This window comes from Homo sapiens, chromosome 2 (genome assembly GCF_000001405.40).
Source record: "Homo sapiens chromosome 2, GRCh38.p14 Primary Assembly".
NCBI lineage: Eukaryota > Metazoa > Chordata > Mammalia > Primates > Hominidae > Homo > Homo sapiens.
The window spans coordinates 28,708,641-28,736,243 of NC_000002.12; the positions used below are offsets into that span (position 1 = coordinate 28,708,641).

Here is a 27,603-nt window from a genome sequence, read left to right on the forward strand (position 1 = left end):
TCTACCAAAAATAAAAAATAGCCAGGATCTCAGCTACTAAAGAGGCTGAGGTAGGATGGTCTCTGGAGCCTAAGAGTTGGAGGTTGCAGTGAGCCGAGATTGCACCATTGCACTCCAACCTGGGCGACAGAGTGAGACCTTGTCTCAAAAAAAGAAAAGAGAAAACAGGAACAGGAACAGAGAAATCTGGATTTCAGTCCTACTTCTTCCCTTATATGCTGTGTGATCTTGGACAAGGCACTTCCCATCTCTGACCTTCAGTTTTTTCCATCTGTAGGTAATCTCTATGGTACCTTCAAATTCTACCAGAATATTTTTAACTAAAATAGCATCATAGCTACGCTTCGCATTTTTGCTTTTGCTTTTCTTCTCACAGTCACATAATCAACCAAGAGAATGAGGCAAGGAGTTGTGGTTGCTGCTGAACACACACATTTATCTAGAGGGCAAATGTAGACTTTGGTTTAAATTCTTCTGATGAAACTGTGTCTCACACCCAAATCCCAAGTTCAACGGACTGCTCTTGAGATGCCAGCCGTGGCGGCCTTGCTAGGGAGGAGGCCCATGATGGCCTGTGTCTGAGTCTGTTTCATTGCAACACTCCCAGAAAGCCAGCCCTGTCATTAAGCTCACAAAGTAAACACTGTCCTCAGCAAAAGCCTGAGTTAGCAGTCACCTAAAGGCAACTGTGCTCCTTTAAGGGGAGAGCTTTCACCATTCATTGCTCCACCAGTGCCGGCCTTAAAACTTGAAATCAAACGCAGGGCTCCCAAGGCGCTGGCCTTTCATCCAAAACCACCGAAGGCTGTGGGCAGGATTCAGAATTATGTTTCACCAGCTGGTCCAGGCCGCAGTTTGTCTGGGGAGAGAAACAGACACAGGGAACAAAGAGATGGAGGTGGGAAGGTGGTAAGAAAAGGGCCTTTCTGCTGTTATTGCCACAGAGCTATGGGTGGTATTAACGTAATCAGAATATTTTACCCAGAAGTCCAGAACGTAGAAGTATCAATAAGCATTTCTTGCCCCAAACATTTATTGTAGGCATATCAAGTTTTTACCATGTCATTTTGGTCTTTTTTTTTTGAGACAGAGTCTTGCTCTGTCACCCAGGCTGGAGTGCAATGGCACAATCCCAGCTCACTGCAACCTTCACCTCCCAGGTTCAAGAGATTCTTCTGCCTCAGCCTCCTGAGTAGCTGAGATTACAGGCACCCACCACCACACCTGGCTAATTTTTGTTTTTTTGTTGTTGTTTTTTGTTTTTTTTGTTTTAGTAGAGACAGGGGTTTCACCATGTTGGCCAGTCTGGTCTCAAACTCCTGATCTCAGATGATCCGCCCTCCTCAGCCTCCCAAAGTGCTGGGATTGCAGGCATGAGCCACTGCGCCCAGCCTGTTCTTGTTAATTAATATGCTTCTTCCTCATTATGTTAAAGCTGCATCTTGTGTGCGTGTACTGAACCCCCACCTAGCTGGCAAATTCTTCAAAGGCAGGAGAAGTTCCCATTGTTTAGTTTCCAAGCCCAACAAGGTGATTGGTGCTGAACTGAGCCAAGACAGGCAGACTGCCTTCACCAGGGAGTCAAGAGCAGCACCTTGGTGTATCCCCAATGCCCTTCTCCGGGGGTATCCAGTCCATCCCCATTATTTTTGTGGCCCACAAGGCAGTACCTCCTCCCCCAGGTCTGAGAAGACTGAGGAGGGTGTTATTAGGTTCCTACATGGCCCAGACTAGTTGATATCCCATCTGGGACTTGCTGAATAATGATGATAATAATAGCTAACATTTATCGAGCACTTACTATGTGCAGCCTCTGCTAAATACTTTATCTTGCAACACAATCCTCATGCCAGCCCTCTGAGATAGCACTTTTATCATCCCCACTTTACAAATGTAAAAACTGAGACTCAAAATACACAGCTAGGAGACGGTAGACCTGAGATTCTGGTCAGGGCTGACTGACGTGGATCCTGTGTTTGAACTCCTAGCATACGCTGCTTCCCAAACTAGTTTGTAAATTCTTTTGAGAGCAGAGATTCTATCTTTTTCTTTTCTGTACTCACAGAGCCTAGAAGAATCCTGAGCAACAGTGGACTCTTAGCATCTACCTGTTTCTTGACTGACTCATGAGCGATCCATGCCCATGGCAGTCAGAGATAAGAGTGACAAGAGGTTAGAGAGGGATCTGGCAAAGAAAGTTTGGAGAGCTGCTTATAGCCAGGTCAATTTAGGGTGAGGGAGTGTAGGCACAGAGGCCCCTCTCAGCAGTACTCAGAAGCTTCCAGAGCATCCTGAGCAGGAAGGTGGCCTTCCCTTCTCAAGGAGGACTCTCTAAGGAATAAGGAGGCATCCGAACATAGCAAGGGCAGAGGAGTGGCTATGGAGCCAAATCTCATTCAATGTCTCTGTCTTGGTGATCACTAAGAAGCCAGTGTTGCTCTCTGCAGCAAGCTGCTCATCTGTTGTCCTGATTGACCTCCAGTTTAGAAAAATGCACAGTATCCAACTGTTCCTACACTTTGACTGCTCTGCAGGATTTTTTCCCTCTTCCTATATTGAACATGTGAAGGATTGCAGCCCTTTTTTTTTCTAATGGCTTATGTTTTGATGTTTTACCTGTAAATCAATTATTTGGAACTGATAACACATTTCCCATAGGAAATCATGTTGCTTAAAGAGGTTAGGATCTCAGGCTATGTCCTAATAGTCTTATTTTACCCATTGTTTATTCCTTTTTTTTTAATTTTCTTATTTTAAGAGACAGAGTCTCCCTATGTTGCCTCCCACCTCAGTCTCCCAAAGTGCTGGGATTACAGATGTGAGCCACTGTGCCCAGCCTTTACCCATTATTAATAGCAGTGAGCCTGATGTACATATCACCTACAAATAATCATGTTCATAATAGGAAAAAATGTATTAGGTTGGTGCAAAGGTAATTGTGGTTTTTGCCATTATGAAACCGCAATTACTTTTGCACCAATCTAATATATTCCTAATTCTAACTCAGCACCCCAGGACAGGGTTTCCCCTACCTGGGGAAGTAGAGATTTCTGGAGATGAGGTTAGCAGCACTCTGCTACCTCATAACTTTCTAACTGGGTTTGCAGAAGAGATCAGAACTTGAGGATATAAGATCATGCCAGCCTTATCAAAGAAGTCATGTCTGCAGAAGCAACAGGTTTGCAACACAATCATTGCAGCAACGATCCAGATACACACTGATATCTGTTGATTCAGGATGACACACATGAGGGTATGAGTCACACACCTGACCTCCTCAAGACATCTTAAAAGTTCAAAGGGAGGCCGAGGCGGGCAGATCACGAGGTCAGGAGATTGAGACCATGCTCGCTAACATGGCAAAACCCTGTCTCTACTAAAAATACAAAAAATTAGCAGGGCGTGGTGGCGGGCGCCTGTAATCCCAGCTACTCAGGAGGCTGAGGCAGGAGAATGGCGTGAACCCGGGAGGCGGAGCTTGCAGTGAGCCGAGATCACGCCACTACACTCCAGTGTGGGTGACAGAGCGAGACTCTGTCTCACAAAAAAATAAAAAATAAATAAAGGTCAAAGGGATTTCCACCATACTCAGCTTGTTAAATCTCTGAAGTGGAAAGATCAATACTCCTCTAGCCCAACTCCAGCCCAAGACTCCTTCCTATGCCTAGTACTCTGTGCTGAGAAACAGGGAGTCGCAGAAGGAACTCCTTCAAGAAGCTTCTTATTCATTTTTTTAAAAAAATCATTATAATAGCTACTTCTTTTTTTTTTAGTACTAACTTGAGGCCAAAGGCTTTATATGTTTCAATTTGTTAAATTCTCATAAAAACCCTATGTTTAGATTTAGCTTCACTTAGAATATAAGGAAACTGAGGTTTATCATGATTAAGTAACTTGCCTTACCTCACACAGCTAATACACGGAAAAATCAGGATTCAAAACCCAGTCTGTTGGGTGGGCACAGTGGCTCATGCCTGTAATCCCAGCACTTTGCGGGGGCCAAGGCAGGCAGATCACTTGAGATCAGGAGTTCAAGACCAGCCTGGCCAACATGGTGAAACCCCGTCTCCACTAAAATATACAAAAATTAGGCAGGTGTGGTGGTGCGTGACTCTAGTCCCAGCTACTCGGGAGGCTGAGATGGGAGAATTGCTTGAACCTGGGAGGCAGAGGTTGCTGTGAGCCGAGATGGCGCCACTGCACTCCAGCCTGGGCAACAGAGCAAAACTCCATCTCAAAAACAAAAAACAAAAAACAAACAAACAAACAAAAACCCAGTCTGTGACGTCACACTATACTCCATAAATATGTACAATTATTGTGTCAATTAAAAACAAAATTTTAAAAATAAAAAATAAAAATAAGTAACATTTTAAAAAACCCAGTCTGTTTGCAACTCCAGAGTCCAGGCTATTAACTGCTATGGTATAATTGTTTTTCCAGAGGTATGGAGGAAACATCAAAAGATTATAAAACATAGTCACTGTTAAGTATGTCAAACTTATGTATTTTTATTTAAATAATAATCTTGAAATTGATACAGTATATGCTGGATCATCAGGCAGTGCAACTATAACTAAGTCCTGTCACACAATATAAAGGCTCCCTTTTCTGTTGATTTCTAGCCAAGAGGAGGCCAAACAAATACCATGATGGCTCACTGAAAGAATGAGGGTTTTAGGCTGGGCACAGTGGCTGATGCCTGTAATCTCAGCACTTTGGGAGGCCAAGGCAGGAGGATTACCTGAGGTCAGGAGTTCAAGACCAGCCTGGCCAACATGGTGAAACTCCATCTTTACTAAAAATACAAAAATTAGCTGGGCGTGTTGGCAAGTACCTGTAATCCCAGCTACTCAGGAGGGTGAGGCAGAAGAATTGCTTGAAACAACTGGGAGGCGGAGGTTGCAGTAAGCCGAGATCACGCCATTGCACTCCAGCCTGGGTGACAAGAGCGAAACTCCGTCTCAAAAAAAAAAAAAAGAATGAGGGTTTTACAGTAAGTTGAACAGAAGCAAGTCATGGGAGCTTCTCCATGAAGTCACGTAGCACACAGCAGTACAGGCATGCTGAGCACAGAAGGACCTTCCCTTAGGTGTCATCCTCACACTGGGAGCAGACATATTACACAGATCTCATTATACTGTAACCAGCATTGCACACCATGTTGACTCATCATTTTGAGAATGAGCTACTTGGCTGTTAAACTGCCTCAGTCTCTAGTGAGAATTGTTGAAAAGTAAAATTTTTTCCCAAGTCTCCCCTTAGCTATTTTTCTTTCTTTCTTTCTTTCTTTCTTTTTTTTTTTTGTTAGTAGGGACAGGGTTTTGCCATGTTGGCCACACTGGTCTCGAACTCCTGGCCTCAAGCAATGCGCCCGCCTTGGCCTCCCAAAGTGCTGGGACTACAGTGTTTTTCTTTCTTGATGATGCAATATTTAGTCATAAATATCCTCTGAAATCTTCTCATTGTCCTAATTAAAAGAAGAAACTTTTAAGAAACCAGAAGATAGAAGCCTGCTAGACCAGTCCTCCCATATGAGTCGAACATCAAAGTCGTTTATGAAAAAGGAAGAATCACAAAGTTTCAGTTTGTTACAACATTAGAGTAAGAGAGAAAGAAGCATAGAAAAAGCAGTACAAATAGGAAGCACAAAATAAGGTTATAGAAATGAATCCAAATTTCAGTAATCATAGTAAATGTAAATGGATCAAATTGGCCTTTAAAAGTACAAAAAAAGTTAGAGTTTTAAATATTAGAAATCCAGATATATACTTTTTATAAGAGGCTTGCTAAACTGTAAGGATCAAGAATGACAGAAAGTATAAGTATGTAAAAAATAGAGGCTGAGCACAGTGGCTCACATCTGTAATCCCAGTGCTTTGTAGTACTGGGAGTTGAAGACTAGACCTGGCTACATAGTAAGATCCCATCTCTACAAAAAATACAAAAATTAGCCAGGCGTCGTGGTATGTGCCTATGCTCCCAGCTACTGGGGAGGCTGAGATGGGAGACTTGCTTGAGCCCAGGAGTTTGAGGCTTCAATGAACTGTGATTGCACCACTGCACTCCAGCCTGGGTGACAGAGCAAGACCCTGTCTCAAAAAAGTAATAATAATAATATATATTTTTTAAATTAGCTGGTCACAGCAGCATGTACCTGTAGTCCCAGCTACTCGGGAGCCTGAGGCAAAAGGAGTGCCTGAGCCCAAGGGGTTCAAGGCTGCAGTGAGCCAAATGCCACCGCACTCCAGCCTGGGTAACAGAGCAAGACTCTGTCTCTAATAGAAATTAAAAATAAAAGTGAAAATAAAATATATCTGGCAAATAGCCACCCCTTCAAAAAAGCTAATGTTGTTGTTATTAATATGAGACAAATGAGTTTAAGACAAAAAGCATTTTTAGGGATGAAATGAGTCACTATATTTGATAAAAATTTCACTGGAGGCCGGGTGCAGTGTCTCACGCCTGTAATCCCAGCACTTTGGAAGGCCGAGGAGGGCAGATCACAAGGTCAGGAGATCGAGACCATCCTGGCTAACACGGTGAAACCCCGTCCCTACTAAAAATACAAAACATTAGCCCGCGTGGTGGCGGGCGCCTGTAGTCCCAGCTACTCGGGAGGCTGAGGCAGGAGATTGGCATGAACCCGGGAGCCGGAGCTTGCAGTGAGCTGAGATAGCGCCACTGTAGTCTGGCCTGGGCAAAAGATCGAGACTCTGTCTCAAAAAAAAAAATTTTTTTTTCACTGGAGAGCTATAACAACTCTAAACTTATATGTCCTTAATAACATATCTTCAAAGTATGTAATCTAAAAATTGATAAAACTTTGTTTCAAATTGAAAACATACATGGTGATGAGGATAAAAAAACTGAGGAAGGAAGGAGAGAATAAACATATGTTGAGGGCTTACTATTTGCCAAGACTGTGCCAAATGCTAGGGAAACAAGGATGTGGAGACATAGTTTCTCCCCCCATAAAACTTCCATATGGAAATAATGTATAATGTGATAAAGGTTATAACAGTGGGATATACACTCTTTTTTTTTTTTTCTCTTGAGACGGCATCTTGCTCTGTCATCAGGCTGGAGTGCAGTGGCACAATCTCGGCTCACTGTAACCTCTGCCTCCCAGGTTCAAGGATCCCCCTGCTTCAGCCTCCCAAGTAGCTGGGATTACAGGCACGCACCCCCACACCCGGCTAATTTTTTGTGTTTTTTAGTAGAGACGGGGTTTCACCATGTTGGCCAGGGTGGTCTTGATCTCCTGACCTTGTGATCTGCCTGCCTCGGCCTCCCAAAGTGCTGGGATTACAGGTGTGAGCCACCACACCCGGCCCAAGGGATATACACTCTTAAAATGAATGATGGAAGACAGGATGAAGTTACTATCTGAATCAGAAGAGGAGGGGGTAAAGGAAAACTCATATAGAAATATTTTGAAATGGTCTTAAAGGATGAGTAAGAGTTCACCAGATAGACAAGGGGCAGAGGGGCGAGGACTAGGGAGAAGAGCATGTCAAACAGAGGAAACAATACACACCACCAGCCAGAGAGGTAAGAAAGCATAGCATGTACAGAGGTCTAAAGCATTGGATAAGTAAATTGAGGAAGAAAAAACATTTTTACTGGTAACGATTTCACATGCATGAAGCCTTAGTTTCAGTGACATTTACACACACCAGAAAGAAGAACTGGACAAGGTTCCTCTTCAGCACAGAAGTCACTAGAAAAATATAACTAATCACATGAGGGATGGGAGGAGTTTAGAAAGCTACCAGTTTAATTTCCCTTGGCAAATCCTGCAGTGCAGATTTGCTAAGTTCCAGTGTAATGCACTCTGGTGATGTCATTTTAGCCTCGGATGATTGCACATCCCAAACAACCATGTGACTAATACCCTCTGGCTGTCACCAAAAGTCTAAACAATATGAGCAGCAGTGCTCAGCCTCAGCGTGCTAGCAAGCTGCCTTAGTTCCTCACTTTCAAATTACAATCTGACTTGTTACATGTAATAAACAGGAGGTGAGAAAGGAGAAAGAAAAACAAGTGTGGAAACTATTCCATAGTAGTGCTATGACCTAACACATCCATTTGATTTCAGTTGGCAAGGGAAGCAGAAGATCCAGTTTGACACAAGAAATCAAGAATGGTTGCACAACAGGCTGAGTTGGGAACATCCTTTATATATTGTCAGTCTCTGCCATGGCCGGTAATTCACTCAATTGTGAACAAAATATCTTACAGAGTAGCCAAAAAGTTTTAGAAAATAATGTGCACTTTTTTTTTTATTTTTTTCCCCTTTCATACCTAGTCTGGTAGAATAATCTGCACTTTAGAAGGGACGGCTTTTCTTTCTTTCTTTTAGACAAAACTGTGCCCCTTGATTTTGGATCCCATTTATGCTGATACTTTTAAATAAGCAATTTTCTCATGTGCAGTGGGAATTGACACCTATCTAACCAATTTTTATTTTGTTGATGAAAACTGAAAGCGGAAGCTAGAAGAATGGGGGGATTGTCCTCTTTTCTATATATTTTTTTCTTTTTGATGTCCTTTACTTCAAGTTAAGCCTGGTGTTTGCTTTAATCACAGCAGAAAGCATTTTCCATTTCAGGGAAAGGAGAGAACAGGCCATAAACCCTGTCCCCTGTTTGTTCTCCAACTACCCATTTTTGTCCTTTGCCCTGCCATGTCTTTTCCCCCTCGTTTGCTTCTCCTTTCTTTGTTGATTTCTCAGTTCTTTTCTGGCCTCACTCAAAATGGCAGAAATTACGCAACCTAGTACTTTTTTACACAAGCTCCTTTAGTGTCAAGGATTCATCAAGTGCCTGCCATGTGCCGGAACTGTTCTAGATGCCGAGAATACTACCATGAATGAAATAGACAGAAATCCCGGCTGTCATTGGGCTTTGTCTGAGGGCCATTGGGGAAGGCCTCTCAAAGGAAGTGATAGCTGAGCTGGGATCTGAGTCATGAAGAGGAGTGAGCCCAGGGGACAACAGCTGCAAGAGTGTGCCAATGGGAGAGACCAGCCCAGCAAAAAGGAGAAGCATAAGTCTGGTGCATTCCAGGGACAGGAAGGAATGGGGCAGGGTGCCTTTAAGAGAAAAGCATCAGTTTGGATGAGGAGGGATGTAGGGTCGGGAATACAAAATAAGAGTAATTATGGCTGGGCACAATAGCTCACACCTGTAATCCCAGGACTTTGGGAGGCCAAGGTGGGCGGATCACTTGAGGTCGGGAGTTAGAGACCAGCCTGGCCAACATGGCGAAACCCTGTCTCTACCAAAAATACAAAAATTAGCTAGGCCTGGTGGTACGTGCCTGTAATCCCAGCTACTCGGGAGACTGAGGCAGGAGGCAGAGGTTGCAGTAAACCAAGATCGCGCCACTGCACTCCAGCCTGGGCAAAAGAGTGAAAGTGTGTCTCAAAAAAAAGAGAGAGAGAGAGAGAGAGAGAAATTAACTTAGGGTGAAAGGCATTTTGCCCACAACAAAGGAGGGATTCCTCTAGATCCACCAGATGGAGGAAGGTTTGAGAGAACAAAGATGATGGTTGGGTTCCAGGGTCTGAGTAGAAGCAGGAGAAGGAATCCTCTTTTTTTTTTTTTTTGAGACGGAGTCTCGCTCTGTTGCCCAGGCTGGAGTGCAGTGACGTGATCTCGGCTCACTGCAAGCTCCGCCTCCCGGGTTCACGCCATTCTCCTGCCCCAGCCTCCCTAGTAGCTGGGACTACAGGCACCCGCCACCACGCCCGGCTAATTTTTTGTATTTTTAGTAGAGACGGGGTTTCACCGTGTTAGCCAGGACGGTCTCGATCTCCTGACCTCATGATCTGCCCTCCTTGGCCTCCCAAAGTGCTAGGATTACAGGCGTGAGCCACCGCGCTCAGCTGGAATCCTCTTTCTTTAGAGGTGTGAAGAGTGGGAACTGGGGACCAGTAACTCGGAGAGGCAAGGCCAGGTTCATGGAAGACTGGGGGGACAAATGGACTGATGGCAACACACAAAGACGCACACTTATGCAGTCACATGTGCACAAAGCGACAGCAGGCGCCTTTTCAAAGTATGCCGGGTTGAGTGAAATGACCTAAACGTATCTTTTTATACAGTAAGCAGGAGGGCAGAGACCCTCTTTTTATAGACTACATTCTCAACATTTTTAAAAACATTTGCTCCTGGCAGGGCGCGGTAGCTCACGTCTGTAATCCCAGCACTTTGGCATGCTGAGGCGGGAGAATCACTTGAGGTCAGGAGTTCAAAACCAGCCTGGCCAAAATAGCGAAACCCCATCTCTACTTGAAAAATAAAATACAAAAATCATCTGGGCATGGTGGCACAGGCCTGTAGCCCCAGCTACTCGAGAGGCTAAGGCAGGAGAATTGCTTGAACCTGGCAGAGGGAAGCTGCAGTGAGCTGAGATCGCACCACTGCACTCCAGCCTGGGGGACAGAGTAAGACTCTGTCTCAAAGAGAAAAAAGAAAAAATTGTTCCTTTTCAGTAAACATAAAAACCACATACCCTTGTTTAAAATGGTTTGAAATTTCAAACTAAATAGAGTGACTGGAAAAAACATGCGGGCAATTTCAGAGTATGTTTCTTCAAGTTACTTAAGCCTCCTCCACCCAGACTTTGGTCTGGAACCTTCTGATCTACCCACTTTCCAGGTGAATCCCAGCTGAGCTGCTACAGCCTGGTAAGTGTTGCCAGATCTGCATAGCAGCCTCAGGCTGGGCTCATTAACTCTAAAGGAAAAAGAAAAAGGCAACAACTTAGTGGGCTGCCAAAACTGGTTTTTTCGTTTGTTTGTTTTTGTTTTTAGGCAGGATCTCACCATATCGTCCAGGCTGGAGCGCAATGGCAAGATGTCACTCACTGCAACCTCCACCTCCCAGGTTTAAGCCATTCTCCTGCCTCAGCCTCCTGAGAAGCTGGGATTACAGGCGCCCACCACCACACCTGGCTAATTTTTGTATTTTTTAGTAGAGACAGAGTCTCGCCATGTTGGTCATGCTGGTCTCGAACTCCTGACCTCAAGTGATCCACCCACCTTGGCCTTCCAAAGTATTGGGATTATAGGGGTGAGCTACCGCACCCAGCCCAAAGCTGTCTTTAAAAATATATCTGTGGATTTAGCCGAATGAAGGAGATGAATGCTGAGTTATGAAGAGAGAGCTTTGCCTTGCTTCAGAGAGCAAAGCTTGGCTTAGTGACTAAAAGTTTCTGGAAAAAAGTTTCAGAAAAAGATTTCATTAAAAAAAAAAAAAAGTCAGCCGGGCACAGTGGCTCATGCCTATAATCCCAGCATTTTGGGAGGCCAAAGGGGGCAGATTGCCTGAGGTCAGGAGTTTGAGACCAGCCTGGCCAACGTGGTGAAACCCTGTCTCTACTAAAAATACAAAAATTAGCCAGGCGTGAAGGCACCTGTCATCCCAGCTACTCGGGAGGCTGAGGCAGGAGAATATCTAGAACCCAGGAGGCAGAGGTTGCAATGAACTGAGATCATGCCACTCCACTCCAGCCTGGACAATAAGAACAAGACTCCATCAAAAAATAAAAATAAAACCCACCAAAGATGAGAACTTTCTGACTAGTGGAAGTAGTTGACACCCAGCACTGCAGGTGAGCTATGGTATAAAGCAGGTACCTGACCTGGGTCTAAGGTCCCTTCTAATTTTACATTCTATGAATTAATCTATATCTAAAGACCATGAGCACAGTATTGAATGAAGATGTTCACAAACATAGTCATTCTTTCTCTCTCTTCAGAAATAGCTAGATAAAAAGAACTATCAACATCACTAGCCATCAGAGTAATGCAAATCAAAACCATGATGAGATTACCACTTCCCACTCACCAGGATGGCTATAATAAAAAAGACAGATAATAACAAGTGTTGGTGAGGATATGGAGAAACCAGAACCCTCACACATGGCTGGCAGGAATGCAAAATGGTATAGCCAGTTTGAAAAATAATCTAGCAATTCCTCAAAACGTTAAATGTCTCCTAGCACTTTGGGAGGCTGAGGCGAGCAGATCACAAGATCAGGAGTTCAAAACCAGCCTGACCAACATGATGAAACCCCGTCTGTACTAAAAGCATAAAAATTAGCTGGGCGTGGTGGTACACGCCTGTAATCCCAGCTACTCAGGAGGCTGAGGCAGGAGAATCGCTTGAACACGGGAGGTGGAGGTTGCAGTGAGCTGAGATCGCACCATCGCACTCCAGCCTGCATGACAGAGACAGACTACGTCTAAAAAAAAGAAAAAAAAGAAAACTACTCTCACAGAAAAATGAGAGGCAAAATTTCAGCACGACTTCTATTTGTAATTTGCTAATTAAAGTGGGCATTCTACCATGTAAATATCTGTGCCTGAATTCTGACACAGCCTTTTTTTAAAAGAATGATTTATCCTAAACTTCCAGATAGTAGCACTGTGAAATGCAAACAGCAGAGACCTCTGACCTGTATTCCACGTTTAACAAACACACACAAAGCTGATTAAAAGACATGGAGGTGGCCGGGCACAGTGGCTCACGCTTGTAATCCCAACACTTTGGGAGGCCGAGGCATGTGGATCACCTGGGGTCAGGAGTTCATGACCAGCCTGGGCAACATGGTGAAACCCCGTCTCTACTAAAAATACAAACTAGCTGGGCGTGGTGGCGTGTGCCTGTAATCCCAGCTACTCAGGAGGCTGAGCCAAGAGAATCACCTGAGCCCGGGAGGTGGAGGTTGCAGTGAGCTGAAATTGCACCATTGCACTTCAGCCTGGGTAACAAAGCAAGGCTCTTTCTCAGGAGAAAAAAAAAAAAAAAAAAAAAAAAAAAAGACATAGGGGTGCCTCTGGCCCTGGGATCCAGCCCCTCCATGCTGGTCCAGTGCAACTCATGACCCTAAACATTTCTTCTTGAGATAACACCATTCAGGATTCACAGAAACACTTCTGTATCTCTCTTGCCCTATGTCTTCAAAACAAAAAGCTTTGTGGGTTGTGTTGCTGCTGACATTAGGGGAAAAAAATGGCTTTGCAAAGATTTGAGTGGCAGAAACTCTTACGTAAAAAAGGACAAATTAATTAAGTTGTCAAATTCCTCCTTTCAGAGAATATGAATGCAATAGATTCTTGCATTACCAAGTATCATTGGCTAGGAATGCTGAGGATCCCTTTTCCAGCTTCTCTGTTTTCCAACTCCGAGTTCTGGAGGTACTTGGGAATTAAGTGGCATTTGCAACAGTTGCACATTGTGCATTGTGACCATGGACATTTTGCAATAGCAAACAATTCTTATTACGTTTTTTCCCCCAAGACAAGGTCTGGCTCTGTTGTCCAGGCTAGAGTGCAGTGGCACAATCTCAGCTCACTGCAACCTCCACCTCCTAGTCTCAACCATCCTCGCACCTCAGCCTCCCAAATTGCTGGGATTACAGGCGTGCACCACCACGTCCGGCTATTTTTTGTATTTTTTGTAGAGATGGGGTTTCACCATATTGTCCAGGATGGTGGCTCATGCCTGTAATCCAGCACTTGGGAGGCCTAGGTGAGAGGATAGCTTGAGCCAAGGACTTCAAGATCAGCCTGGGCAATACAGTGAGACCTCTTAAAAAAAAAAAAAAGTTCAGCTTTATTTAAATGATTTTTATTTAAAATGTTGGTATTCATATATTTTTATTTTGCCTTCTAATTTTAATAGGCATAAATATTTTAAAACAATAATTTTCTTGAAGATATACAAAGTAATTATGATCTTAAAATTTACAATCACTTTAACTTACATTTTGATGAAAATATGCTCAAATTTTAAACACAATTACCTTCATTTTTAACTTGTTACATTATTACTATCAATTGAACACAAATTACATGAAAATCTTTATTGTAACAACATAGTGGTTTTCCTGAAATGGAGAAAATAAAATAAATGTTGTGGAATACATAAATAAAAACATAAATAATGTCTTTTATTAATCATAGAAAATGTCATTAGCTCCTCTAAACATGTGCAATAATAACTAAAAATTAGCCATCTTTTTTTGCAGTCTTTCATAATACTTTATCAACACCATAGCTTTACAAATGTTTTTAATGGACCAGGCACAGTGGCTCACACCTGTAATCCCAGTGCTTTGGGAGGCTGAGGCAGGAGGATCATGAGGTCAGGAGTTCGAGACCAGCCTGGCCAACATAGTGAAACCCCATGTCTACTAAAAATACAAAAAATTAGCTGGGCGTGGTGTCAGGCGCCCGTAATTCCAGTGACTCAGGAGGCTGAGGCAGGAGAATCGCTTGAACTGGGGAGGCGGAGGTTGCAGTGAGCTGAGATCGCGCCGTTGCACTCCAGCCTGGGCAACGAGTGAAACTCCTGTCTCAAAACAAAACAAAACAAAACAAATGTTTTTAATGATGTTATGGATTTGTCAAGATTGAAGTATAGAGCACATTTTGTTTAAAATGTTTTGGCTTTCGGCCAGGTGCAGTGGCTCACGCCTGTAAATCCAGCACTTTGGGAGGCTGAGGCAGCCAGATCACTTGAGGTCAGGAGTTCCAGACCAGCCTGGCCAACATGGTGAAACCCTGTTGGCTGGGTGAGGTGGCGGGTGCCTGTAATCCCAGCTACTCAGGAGGCTGAGGCAAGAGAATCGCTTGAACCTGGGAGGCGGAGGTTGCAGTGAGCTGAGATCGTGCCACTGCACTCCAGCATAGGTGACAGAGCAAGACTCTGTCCCCCTCCCCCCAAAAAAAGAAAGGCCAGGTGCAGTGGCTCACGCCTGTAAATCCAGCACTTTGGGAGGCCAAGGCAGGCGGATCACAAGGTCAGGAGATTGAGACCATGCTCGCTAACACAGCGAAACCCCATCTCTACTAAAAATACAAAAAACTAGCCAGGCATGGTGGCAGGCGCCTGTAGTCCCAGCTACTCGGGAGGCTGAGGCAGGAGAAGGGCGTGAACCCAGGAGGCGGAGCTTGCAGTGAGCCGAGATCGTGCCACTGCACTGCGGCCTGGGCGAGAGACTCTGTCTCGGAAAAAAAAAAAAAAGAAAAAGAAAAAGAAAACTACATCCCCCTCAGGCAGACATAATACAAAGGAGGCCCTTTCTTCCCTGCAGAATCAGCCCTGCACCAGGGAGCCAGACGCAGCAAGAGAAGCCAGGGCTGGATTTTTATCCCTAATGTCCCTCTTGGTTGGGCACCTGGCACAGGGCACAAGCTGCACTCCCATATAAGTGGCTCTGGCCTAGGCAATGGCATCACACTAGAGTAAGGAAAGTGACCCAACTTGTAATGGCAGGCATATTAGAGCAGAGATTCCAAAATTTCATTTCATATATTCCTAGGTGCCTCTGACCCCCACCCCCAAACCACAGATCAACCACAGGAGGTCCTTTTCACCTGCTGTGTAATAGAGGGTTTTTGTTTATGTTTTTGTTTTAGTGGAAGGGATTTTACAACTTTTAAAATATATGTATATATGTTTAACCCCTGATCTACTCCCGCCACACAGCCACATCATGGACCCTGGAGGCAATGGAATAGGAAGGACAGCAGTGGGGGCTGGGAGGGCAGGGGGAAGGAGACTTTTCAGGGACATCCAAAGCCACTGACTTTTGTCCCGTACTCCAGTGGGTGTGCTCCTCTCCTTGACCCCACCGGGCACCATACTTTATAGTTACTTAGAATTTTTGAAGACCTTGGCTGGGGGGTCTCTCTGATAAATCCAAATTACTATGCTTTTGTTAAAACTTTTACATGCCAAAGCAGGCAAACAACAGATATTTTTTAACATCTACATTTGAAAACCATTCTGGGTATACTTCACTGTAATATACAGCCAGCAAAGCAACCATAACATTTCCTCATTTTCCTGAGTAAATTTAGAAGCAAACATTTTCAGAATATGAAATTAAATAAAAGGTCATAGGACAATGAATAATATGCTGTGTGTGTGGTTAATTATACTTGTTCTAAAAAAAAGTCATCCTAGCCTCTCTATAAAAATTGTGTGTGTAGCTATTTCACTTTGAAATGTCATAGGGTTACTCTGTTTCAAAAAGAAAATGGAAAAGCATAAAGATATTTATTTAACCCTGAAAGAAAATATTTCTTAAGAGAATGTAATGTTTAATTCCATATTGTTTCCCTTTGTCCTGTGGCTGGTTTATAAATATGGAAGGCACAATTCTTTGTGCTATTGAAATTAAGGGTTCACGGTATTTTTTGTCTTTTCAGGGAAAAGAATCAAACAATTTAGATACAGAAAAGATATGATTCTTTCAACAGCTACTAAAATCTGACAAGCCATTTTAATCATAAGGTAGATAGCATTATAATTTAATCTTTTCCGTGATGAGATAATCTGTACTTTTAACTTCAAACAAGATGCTTAATATTTAATACTTCAGATTTCAAAAGTGAAACATGTCTGAAATACTTGAATGAAAGTCACTTGTCTACCTATTTTTTATTTCTGCTGTAATTAAAGCAGGGAACTTAATTGCAAGTGAACTCATTCTAATACTCCAATAAGACAAAATAAGCAAGCCATGTTATTAATAGCGATGACAGAAGTGATCGCTCTGGGCAGTCTGGCAAATACTTACCTGTGACTGGGAGGTTCACCTAAAAAAAGCCACACTGAGGTCACTTTTGCTTTTTGGGGTAATTTCGCCCTACCATGCTCTGAGAGATCAGAGAAGGATTTTTCCTCTAAACTTTTTCTCTTATTGTCCTAGGATTTACACTCTTGCTTCTTCCAACTGGTGTATTAAAAATTACTAGACACCTACTAAGCGCCAGACACTTTCCTAGCTGTTAGGAATAGAAAGAGAAAGAATATGGTCTGCAGTCCAGGAGCTCAGGCTAGAGCATTCTATGCTATGTGCTATGCTAGAGGCACGCACAAGGCTCCTGGTCCAGCCCAGCCCTCAGATTCTGCGTCCAGAGCAGATATTCAGTTTCTTCACCTGGAAAATTTCTCTAGGGTCGACCTAAATTCTAAAATGTATATGATTCTAGTTAGCGGCTCACATTATTTCAAATAAGGTGTTTAATAGCTAAACTGTATGCAGCTATAGTTACTTTTTTTGTTTTGTTTTTTGTTTGTTTGTTTTTTGGGACAGGCTCTCACCCTGTTGCCCAGGCTGGAGTGCAGGGGCATGATCTCATCTCACTGCAGCCTCCACCTCCCGGGTTCAAGAGATTCTCATACCTCAGCCTCAGGCACGCACAACCACCCCCAGCTAATTTTTGTATTTTTAGTAGAGATGGGTTTTCACCATGTTGCCCAGGCTGGTCTCAAACTCCTGAGCCCAAACGAACTGCCTGCCTCTGCCTCCCAAAGTGCAGGATTACAGGTGTGAGCCACCGCACCTGGCCAGCCATAGTACTTCTATAATGTTGATGCCAGAGTCTCTTCTTGGCTCCTCTGAGTGTTTTATGTTATTAACCTACTTAAAATCTCACATTTACATTTTATTTGTTGGGGGGAGGTGTTGTTGCGGGTAGTTTGAGAGTGTGTTACCCCTTCAATCCACCTTCCTTTGATGGAGAATGATTTTATCTTATTCAAGTTACCCATTTGCCACAGATTCATAGTCTAAAAAAATTTACTTGTCTTTGATCCTTTTGAAATGAACAAAATGAGTAGGAGACACACTCCTATTTTAGAAAAGAGAGGACTTAAAGTGGTTCTATCTTGCGATTTATTGGGCGGGTTCTTGCCAGTGAATGAAGCTGATCCCGGCGACAGCTTGGTTTGAATCATCCAAGCTCATGGGGTTTGCTGATTTGGGAATCACTCTGTTCTCTATAGCTCTTCTGCTGGCCACTTCTGAATAAGTAGAACCATTCTCCAGCTTGAGTGTTATTTTTTTGTTTTGTTTTGTTTGAAGAGGTTTCAAGAAGACCAAGGCAAAATCAGATGAATTGTAGATCAGTGAATTTCCACTGGGAATTAACAGGGATAAAATCTTTTTCAAACTACACAGAGCTCCCCACCCCACCCCTGTCCCCATCCCTATCCATAGCAGCATTCAAGAATCACTGCAATAAAGAGTGAAAATAGGCCGGGCGCGATGGCTTACGTCTGTAATCCTAGCACTTTGGGAGGCCGAGGTGGGCGGATTGCCTGAGCTCGGGTGTTCGAGACCAGCTAGGGCAACATGGTGAAACCCTGTCTCTACTAAAATACCATTAAAAAAAAAAAAAATTAGCCAGGCATGGCAGCGTGCGCCTGTACTCCCAGCTACTTGGGAGGCTGAGACAGAAGAATGGCGTGAACCCGGGAGGCGGAGCTTGCAGTGAGCAGAGATTGTGCCACTCTACTCCAGCCTGGCGACAGAGCAAGACTCCATCTCAAAAAAAAAAAATTAGTGAGTGAAAATAGGAGTCAGAACCTGGAGCCCAGGGTTCCATCGATGGTTCTGTCACCACCTCTCCGGCTGCTCTGTGATCCTGGTTTACATTCTGGTCATACATGAATCTGCTCATCTGCATATTTTGAGTTAAAGTAAATAAAAATTTTAAGTGATTTAAATTCCAAAGAATAAAATATGTAATGAAAAAGCTGTAATAGGAATGATATATTTAGACTGCCTACTAAACTTACCCAAAAAAACAAACAGCAAAGTTGGTTTAATTCCTTTCTTTCACTAAGTCTTGTTCCCCGCTCAAGGAAATAATTTATTTAACTATAGCTGGGTTCCAGAAGATCCAGTTTCCAGCGATCCCCATTCATTGAGGTGCAATTTGGATATGTTCTCCAAACTCCTAGGGCAGCTCCCTTTACCTGGATGCATGGTAGAGAGCTGATAGGGCCCCACAGAGCCAGGCGTTTACAAGTCCACAGAAGGGTAGGTGTGTAGCTGAGAGTCCCTTAGGAAATATCTCAAAGATCTTTGGGATTCCTGACCAAAAGCATTTTCTCCTTAGCTTTATCTAGGAAGTCTTATCTTTAGTTGAGACTTTATTCAGACAATGCTTGTTCTCCAAAGTGTTCTCAAAGACAGCAGCTCTTGTCCGGCCCCTCTTGGGGTCACATGTCTCCTTGGCTAGCCACCCCGCACCATGCCAGTACAAAACACTCTCCTGTGACCCACCCAGTTTTCATATTTGATTATCTGGCCTCACAGACTGGCAAAGTTAGTGGTCACACACCTGGAGTGGAATAAGGCAAATTATGAAGGTACTGTTTATGAATAAACTAATTAAAGTAGCTTGTCTGTGGTCTCCCCATAAATGAGTCGCCAGCTCAGGACTAGAGCAGGGGTCAGTGAATTGCATCCCCTTGGGCCAAATGTGGCCAGGAGCCTGTTTTTGTACCAGGAGCAAAAAATGGTTTTCATATTTTCAAAGGGTTGTATAAAAAATAAATAATAGACTGGGCGCAGTGGCTTATGCCTATAATCCCAGCACTTTGGGAGGCCAAGGTGGACAGATTACTTGAGGCCAGGACTTCCAGACCAGTGACTAAGATGGCAAAAACCCGTCTCTACTAAAAATACAAAAATTAGCCAGGCGTGGTGGTGCATGCCTGTAGTCCCAGCTTCTATGGAGGCTGAGGCAGGAGAATCGCTTAAACCTGGGAGGCAGAGGTTGCAGTGAGATGAGATCATGCCATTGCACTCCAGTCTGGGTGACAGAGCAAGAATTTGTCTCAAAATAATAATAATAATAATAATAATAATAATAATAATAATAATAAAAAGGCTGGGCGCAGTGGCTCACGCCTGTAATCCCAACACTTTTGGAGGCAGAGGTGGGTGGATAACTTGAGGTCAAGAGTTACAGATGAGCCTGGCCAACATGGTGAAGCCCCATCTCTACTACAAACACAAAAAATTAGCTGGGCGTGGTGGCGCATGTCTGTAATCCCAGCTACTCAGAGGCCGAGGCAGGAGGATCCCTTGAACCTGGGAGATGGAAGTTGCAGTGAGCAGAGATCGCACCACTGCACTCCAGCCTGGGTGACAGAGTGAGATTCTGTCTCGAAAAACAACAACAACAAGAAGAACAACAAGAACAACAACAAGAAGAAGATAACAAATATGTAATAGAGGCTGTATGTGGTCCACAAGCCTAATAGATTTGTTTTCTGGCCCTTCACAGAAAAAGTTTGCTGACCCATGGACTAGAGTATCCACATCTTATCCACTGGGGTCTTTTGGGTTCTTGAAGGTGAGTCCAGCTAGTATCACACTCCCGGCCTCATTCAATGTCATGTGAGTCATACAATTGGTGAACTTGAAAGGGAACTGAGTTTAGATCAGTCCTTAGTGGCAGTGTCTTCTCAGAGCCAACCTGGATTTGTGGTATAAATTCTGGTCCACTGTCTGCCACTTAGTATGGACCCAACACAAGTCACAAGTCACTCTGCTCTGGAACTTTATCTCACAGGTAAACTCATACTAACCCAAGCTCACAGAGACTGCTGTATAGCCAGAATTCAAATTCATTCCATTTTAACCATAAATGCAACCAGCTAACAGGTGAGCCTTCACATCAGCAGACCAGAGTCTTTGCTTCCTATAATCAGGCTTCAGCACACAGGGAGCCATGTGGAGCATGAAATCTGAGTAAGGAGAGGTGGGTAGATGACTTATCCAAAGATACATTTGCCACAGAGACCTGAGAGCTCAAATCCTTAGGCCAAGGCCCCTTCTCTCTTGAACAGTAGTTGGGAGTGTGCTACCCACTCCTTGCTTCTTAGGTTGAGGTTTTCCAGGCTACAGGCTGACAGCTCTCTGCCTACATCCTCTGTTCATCCAGACTTTCTCCATACAACGGATTAAATTAACAAACACATTCTGGTGATTGCCTTCCTGGATTACCCCCAGGTCACTGAAGTTAGGGGTATTCCCAAAGTCTTCAGGTACACACTGGTTATCTCTCAGTTTACTCCCTCATTGGGTTTAGCCTAATCTCTGTGTGATTCTATGCATGTTCACATGCGTGCACATGTGTGCATGTGTGCACGTGTGTGTGTGTGTGTGTGTGTGTGTGTGTATGACTGGTTTAACTCTCAGAAGGCAAATTTATTTCCTATTTTCAGGTTTTTTGGAAGATATTTTATTATTACTCCCTTTGCTGCCAACAAGGTATTTTTGAGCTATTTTGAAAGAAAATCTGTAGTGCAACTGTTTTTTATTATATTTTGAGACTTAGCTACTTGAATTCAAACACATAAGCAGTTTTTCCTGATTTTCTATTATAATAACTTATGAGACTGAGCTCATGATGACAAATATCTAGTAAAGCCTCTCAGGATAACTCATCTGTTTTCATAACCACTGTTAAATAGTCTTATGTAATCAACTCAAAACATCTTTAAGATCTCTTGTTTCCAAAGGAGGTGGATAAAAATATTTTGCTGTTAAGCAAAATAATAACCAGTTGGATGCCTCCAACAATCAGCCTCAGATCAGAAAAATCCTTCCCAATTGTCTTCCTTTCTTTCCTTTCTTCCCACCTTCCTTCCTTCTTTCCTCTCTCCCTCCCTCCCTTCCTTCCTCCCTCCTCCCCAAACATGTATAGAGCATCTCCCCTGTGTTAGGGATAGTTTTTGGCACTGTAGATATAATAATGAAAATACAGTGTAATAAAAGAGTCCTGCCCTATCAGGGCTTACATTCTAGTTGACAGGAGATAGATTATTTAAAAAAAATAAATAAATAAGAAAAATATTAGCAATGGGTAAATGCTATGCAAAGAATAAAATTGAATGGTGTAATACAGTGATTACTTTGGATGGGATCATCAGTGAAGGCCTTTCTTCAGGATAACACTTTAGCTGAGACTTAGGGACAAGAAGGAGCCAATCATGGGAATCTAAGGGTAAAGAACATTACAGCTAGAGCAAGACCCCAGACAAAGACCCAAAAGGAACAACAGGCCTGGGGAGTGCTGGGAATACAAAGAAAGCTAATGCAGCCAGAGTATGGCTGATGGGCAAGGAGGAGAGTAGCAGTAATAATAAGTTTTCCATCAAGAGCACAGAAGAAACTGGGCACAGTGGCTCAAACCTGTAATTCCAGCACTTTGGGAGGCTGAGGTGGAAGGATCGCTGGAGGCCAGGGGTTTGAGACCAGCCTGGGCAATACAGGGAGACCTCGGTATCTACAAAAAAAATTTAAAAATTAGCTGGCACGCACCTGTGGTCCCAGCTACTTAGGAGACAAGAGGATCACTAGAGCCCAGGCAGTCGAGGCTGCAGTGAACTGTGATCATGCCACTGCACTCTAATCTGGGCAATGGAGCAAGACTCCTATCTCAAAAAAAAAAAAAAAAAAAAAAAGCACAGGATGTGGAGTGTATCAGTGGCAAATACCTTTGACAATTTCCTCATTTACAGAGACCGTGGAAATTGTCATTGCTTTACCCTGCCTCATTTTTTTTTTTTTTTGCCCTTGCAAAAAAATATATAATGAGGAAAGTTAGGTGTGTAATATGGATTGGTTTAGTCTCCACAGCTTTGTTTCTGGCAAAGTTCATTTGTGTGTCTTTTCCAGATTTTCTAGGTTATACCTCAAACCAAATCAGATTAGTAGCTTTTTTTTTTTTTTTTTTTTTTTTTTTTTTTTTTTCCTGGCAGGGTCTTACTCTGTCGCCCAGGATGGAGTGTAATGGTGTGATCTCAGCTCACTGCAAACTCTGCCTTCTGGGTTCAAGTGATTCTCCTGCCTTAGCCACCCAAGTAGCATGGATTGCAGGCATGTGCCACCACACCCAGCTAACTTTTGTATTTTTAGTAGAGATGGGGTTTCGCCATGTTGGCCAGGCTAGTTTTGAACTCCTGGCCTCATGTTACCTCCCTGCCTCGGCCTCCCAAAGTGCTGGGATTACAGGTGTGAGCCACTACGCTCAGCCACAAGTGTCATTTGAAAAGAGCAAAAGGGCAAAGATATTAAAAACGAATCACCATGCCCCTCAATATCTCAGAGGTCACAGGTGTTTGAAAGTCACAGGTAGAGGAGGAGGACCCAGGTGAGTGATGTTTTATGAATTGTTATTAAACTTGATAAACTTACCCTTTTGAAGGCATGGAGGTGTCAGGATTCTGGGTCTCAAAATGTGCCTCCCAGCTTAGTGATGTGGGTATACTAAGGAAAGCATAAATGAGGCCTCAAAATGTGTGCTGGGCCCAAAGATTGCAAATTCATAAAACTCATTGTTCTCCATTTATTTAAAAGAGAGCTGGCTCTGAGGAATTGATTTATATTAATCAGAGTTATAATAGACTGATTAATAAAATACAATGCCATTTATTCATTACCTGTGAATGTTGTAACTACCAGGCTGAAATTCATGTCTGTTGGTCAGCACATGCTCTTCCTGGTAGGAAAAATCTATTTAAGAAACCATATTAAAATCAGAAGGTTAAATGTTATATATGGAAGCTGAACAAATCAAGTTGGACGTTTCGAAAGGCTATTTTCAGCCGGGCGCAGTGGCTCATGCCTGTAATCCCAGCACTTTGGGAGGCTGAGGTGGGTGGATCATCTGAGGTCAGGAGTTCGAGACCAGCCTGGTCAACATAGTGAAACCCCGTCTCTACTAAAAATACAAAAAATTAGCTGGGCATGGTGGCGGGTGCCTGTAATCCCAGCTACTAGGGAGGCTGAGGCAGGAGAATCATTTGAACTTGGGAGGCAGAGGTTGCAGTGAGCCGAGATCACACCATTGTACTCCAGCGTGGGCAACAAGAGTGAAACTCTGTCTCAAAAAAAAGAAAAAGAAAAAAAAAAGAAAGGCTATTTTCATTAAGCATTGGAAGCCTGATACAGCCTTTTTTCACTACAAGGACATACAGTACCAGCTAGGCCGATGACCTGCTATGTGGCTGGACAGGGAAGGCCAATCAATGCTGGAGAAACACTGGAAAATTTCAACTCCCAGCCTCTCCTTTTCCTAGGTCTAGGCCACTATTTCCCAAAGAGTGGTCTAATGGCCTCCTACAGTTGATTTGCCTTGGGGATTTATTTTAATTTTTGTTTATTGTTTTTTCTTAAAGAATGGGTCTTATCACCCAGACTGGAGTGCAGTGGTACAATCATAGCTCACTGCCACCTCAAACTCGTGGGCTCAAGCAATCCTCCCACTTCAGCCTCCCAAGGAACTGGGACTACAGGTACGTGCCACTGCATCCGGCTAATTTTTAAACTTTTTGTAGACACAAGGTCTCACCATTTTGCCCAGGCTGGTCTCAAATTCCTGGCCTCAAGTGATCCTCCTACCTGAGCCTCCCAAAGTTCTGGGATTATAGGTGTGAGCCACCACACCTGATCCCAGGGATTTATTTTTATTTTTTATTTTTGGAGACAGGATCTCACTCTGTCTCCCAGGCTGGAGTGCAATAGCATGATCACAGCTCACTGCAGCCTCAGTCTCCCAGGCTCAAGTGACCCTCCTGCCTCAGCCTCCTGAGTAGCTGAGACTACAGGCATGTGCCACCATGCTCAGCTAATTTTTTAACTTTTTGTAGAGACAGAGTTTCCCTATGTTGACCAGGCTGCCAGGGATTTATTAAAAATGCATGCATTTTTCTTTTTCTTTTTTTTTTTTTTTGAGACAGAGTCTCGCTGTGTCACCAGGCTGGAGTGCAGTGGCACGATCTTGGGTCACTGCAACCTCCAACTCCCTGGTTCAAGGGATTCTCCTGCCTCAGCCTCCTGAGTAGCTGGGACTACAGGCATGTGCCACCACACCCAGCTAATTTTTGTATTTTTGTAGAGATGGGGTTTCACCGTGTTGGTCAGGATGGTCTCAATCTCCTGACCTCGTGATCTGCCTGCTTTGGCCTCCCAAAGTGCTGGGATTACAGGCGTAAGCCACCGTGCCCAGCCAAAATGCACTTTTCTAGACCCCATCTCACACTTCTAATCAGAAGGTCTGGTCTTGAGCTAAGATATGAATTTTAACTAGCTTTCTGGAGAAGTGTAATGCACAATAGTGTTTTGAAAACCACTGCTAGCTGGTAAGCTGTATAACCATAAGCAAGTTAGCGTTACTGAACTTCTCTACGTCTCAGTTTCTTTGTCCACAAAATAAGGATAATAGTAGGTTCTATCTTCCAGGGTTATTGGTGGGATCAGATGAGTCAAGACATATAAAGCTCTTAGAACAGTGTCTAGCACCTAGTAAGCCCTCAATGATGGCTATTAGTATTTTCACCATTAGCATCATCTTTTTTTTTTTTTTTTTATGAAGTCTCGTTCTGTTGCCCAAGCTGGAGTGCAGTGGCGCCATCTCAGCTCACTGCAATCTCTGCCTTCCCGGTTCAGCGATTCTCCTGCCTCAGCCTCCTAAGTAGCTGGAACTAGAGGCGCATGCCACCATGCCTGGCTAATTTTTGTATTTTTAGTAGAGACGGGGATTCATCATGTTGGCCAGGCTGGTCTCGAACTCCTGGCCTCAGGTGATTCCCCTGCCTTGGCTTCCCAAAGTGCTGGGATTACGGGCGTGAGCCACCATGCCCGGCCCATCATTTTCATTTTCATTATTCAGCCCACCACATTTTTGTTTGCTCACAGACTTGATTTTTTTTTAATCAAGCAAAACCTAATGCATTGATTACTACATAAAGGGAGACTACACCCTTGACAGAGTCTTAGTGCCATCTCCCAGATCGGTTTTTATTGACAATATTTCAGGGTTTCTCCCTCTCAAGAATGGAAAAGATAGTATCCTAAGCCATCTCCACATTATGAAGCAGGATGGATTTATTTTAGAAAGGTTTCCAGTACAGACATTGTGATTCATACTTGTAATCCCAGTGCTTTGGAAGGCTGAGGCAGGAGGACCACTTAAGGCCAGGGGTTTGAGACCAGCCTGGGCAACACAGCAAGACCTCATCTGTCCAAAATATTTTTAAAAGTCATGTGCCTATAGTCCTAACTACTTGGGAGGCTGAGGTGAGAGGATCGCCTGAGCCCAGGAATTCAAGCCTGGAGTGAGCTATGATCACACCACTGTACTCCAGCCTGGGCAACAAAGCGAGACCCTGTCTCTAAAGAAAAAAAAAAGTTTCTAATGGTATTCATAGTGTTTGGCTTAAGGCTTACATTTGATCAGAGTTTGGCACATTTTTTCCCTATCTTGAAAGTTGTTTTGCATCTTAGTTGTGGGCTAAAAGTTCTCTATTTGCTGACAATAGCAACATACCAACTTGTTTAGTGTCATTCCTCCAAATGCCACTTGTTATAAATCACCTCATATTTATACTTTCCTTTTAAAAATGAACAAAATGGCTGGGCACAGTGGTTTACGCCTATAATCCCAGTACTTTGGGAGGCCAAGGTGGGCGAATCTCCTGAGGTCAGGAGTTCGAGACTAGCCTGGGCAACATGGCGAAACCCCATCTCTACTAAAAATACAAAAAAATTAGCCAGGCATGGTGGCGCATGCCTGTAATCTTGGCTACTCGGGAAGCTGAGGTGGGAGAATCACTTGAACCTGGGAGGCAGAGGTTGTAGTAAGCCGAGATTGCACTACTGCACTCCAGCGTGGGCCACAGAGCAAGACTCCATCTCAAAAAAAATAAAAAATAAAAAATTTTAAAATTTTAAAAAATTAAAGTGAATAAAATGTAGAAATAGAGTCCTCTAAATTGTCTGGGTGGCAGTGATTCTAACTAAATGAGGGAGGATCTTGGAGTTGCCATGCCAGTATATTTGGAAGTAGAGTACCAAAAAACAACTTCAAAATTTGCTTTGTAACTTGCCAGAGTTTGTAAGTAGAACTTAGAACACCACCATTTCTGTCAACTGTCTCTTCATCTGAATACTTCAAAGTGGGTTATGAACATTAATTAAGCCTCTAAGCATCCCTGTGATGTGGATAATTATACTAGCCATCCCTGCCTTTTGGATGACCACAGGAAAGGAGGAGGAGGTTACCTGAAGTGAATTCCCCAGGTTAAGCTGATTTGGCAGCAAAACCACCCAGGGAACTTTTTATGGTTGCAATCTAAATAATTCTGCACCTGCTTTCCCCAAACATAAATATAACTTTTTTTTTTTTTTTTTTTTTTACAGTCTTGCTCTGTTGCCCAGGCTGGAGTACAGTGGCAGGATCTATGCTCACTGCAACCTACGCCTCCCCGGTCCAACAGATTCTCCTGCCTCAGCCTCCTGAGTAGCTGGAATTACAAGCGTGTGCCACCACAGCTGGCTAATTTTTGTATTTTTAGTAGAGACAGTGTTTCGCCATGTTGGCCAGGGTGGTCTTGAACTCCTGACCTCAAACAATCCACCCGTCTCGGCCTCCCAAAGTGCTGAGATTACAGGCATGAACCACCGCACCCAGCCTCCCCAAACATAAACATAACATTTTTACATGAGTTGTTGAAAAAGGAATCCAAATTTACCAAATCAGTAATTAAAAGTCTAACCTGGTGAAGAGAAAACGCAGGTATACCCTGGGATTAGTCAGAGTTTAGCTGCTCAGAGTTCCTTTCTGTCCAGTCTGCTTCCCAGTGGACTTTTGTCCTTCCCTCTTATTTCCATTTCCCAATAAACTGAGAGCCCACAGTGCTGGCCTGTAGTGTGGGAAACAGCCTGAGTTACTGATGCCAGGCATGGCCTAAACAGTCTCCTGTGGGAGAGCTA

At 43.6% G+C, this 27,603-nt stretch overlaps 2 long non-coding RNA genes across 15 annotated transcripts in view, besides 2 other annotated features; both read right to left on the reverse strand.

The window, feature by feature from the left end:
• Positions 1-409: 409 nt before the first annotated feature.
• Positions 410-27,565, reverse strand: LOC100505774 (uncharacterized). The gene is made up of 2 exons (NR_145832.1): positions 27,387-27,565; positions 410-859 (listed from the first exon to the last, which is right to left on the reverse strand). It is a non-coding gene; the product is annotated as an uncharacterized LOC100505774 (long non-coding RNA).
• PPP1CB-DT (PPP1CB divergent transcript) overlaps positions 13,628-27,603 on the reverse strand; it is a 29,489-nt gene continuing 15,513 nt past the window's right edge. For 5 of the 14 annotated variants that reach the window (XR_001739362.2, XR_002959377.1, XR_007086262.1 and 2 more), the window contains 3 exons: positions 23,271-23,343; positions 23,026-23,097; positions 20,034-22,114 (listed from right to left, as the gene is read on the reverse strand). This is a non-coding gene — a long non-coding RNA (PPP1CB divergent transcript). Of the gene's footprint in view, positions 14,371-17,686; positions 18,491-20,033; positions 22,115-23,025; positions 23,098-23,270; positions 23,344-27,603 lie in introns of those variants that run through there. The other 9 variants (XR_007086259.1, XR_939886.3, XR_007086261.1 and 6 more) reach the window with 8 other exon arrangements.
• Positions 14,342-14,842: an enhancer, noted in NCBI's record as "H3K4me1 hESC enhancer chr2:28945848-28946348 (GRCh37/hg19 assembly coordinates)". NCBI's record gives its function as "activates a minimal SCP1, AML or CMV promoter by ChIP-STARR-seq in primed H9 embryonic stem cells {active_cell/tissue: H9 hESC(primed)}" and the evidence as "EXISTENCE:reporter gene assay evidence [ECO:0000049][PMID:30033119]".
• Positions 19,929-20,129: a silencer, noted in NCBI's record as "peak3641 fragment used in MPRA reporter construct". NCBI's record gives its function as "represses an SCP1 promoter by STARR-seq MPRAs in K562 erythroleukemia cells {active_cell/tissue: K562}" and the evidence as "EXISTENCE:reporter gene assay evidence [ECO:0000049][PMID:32103011]".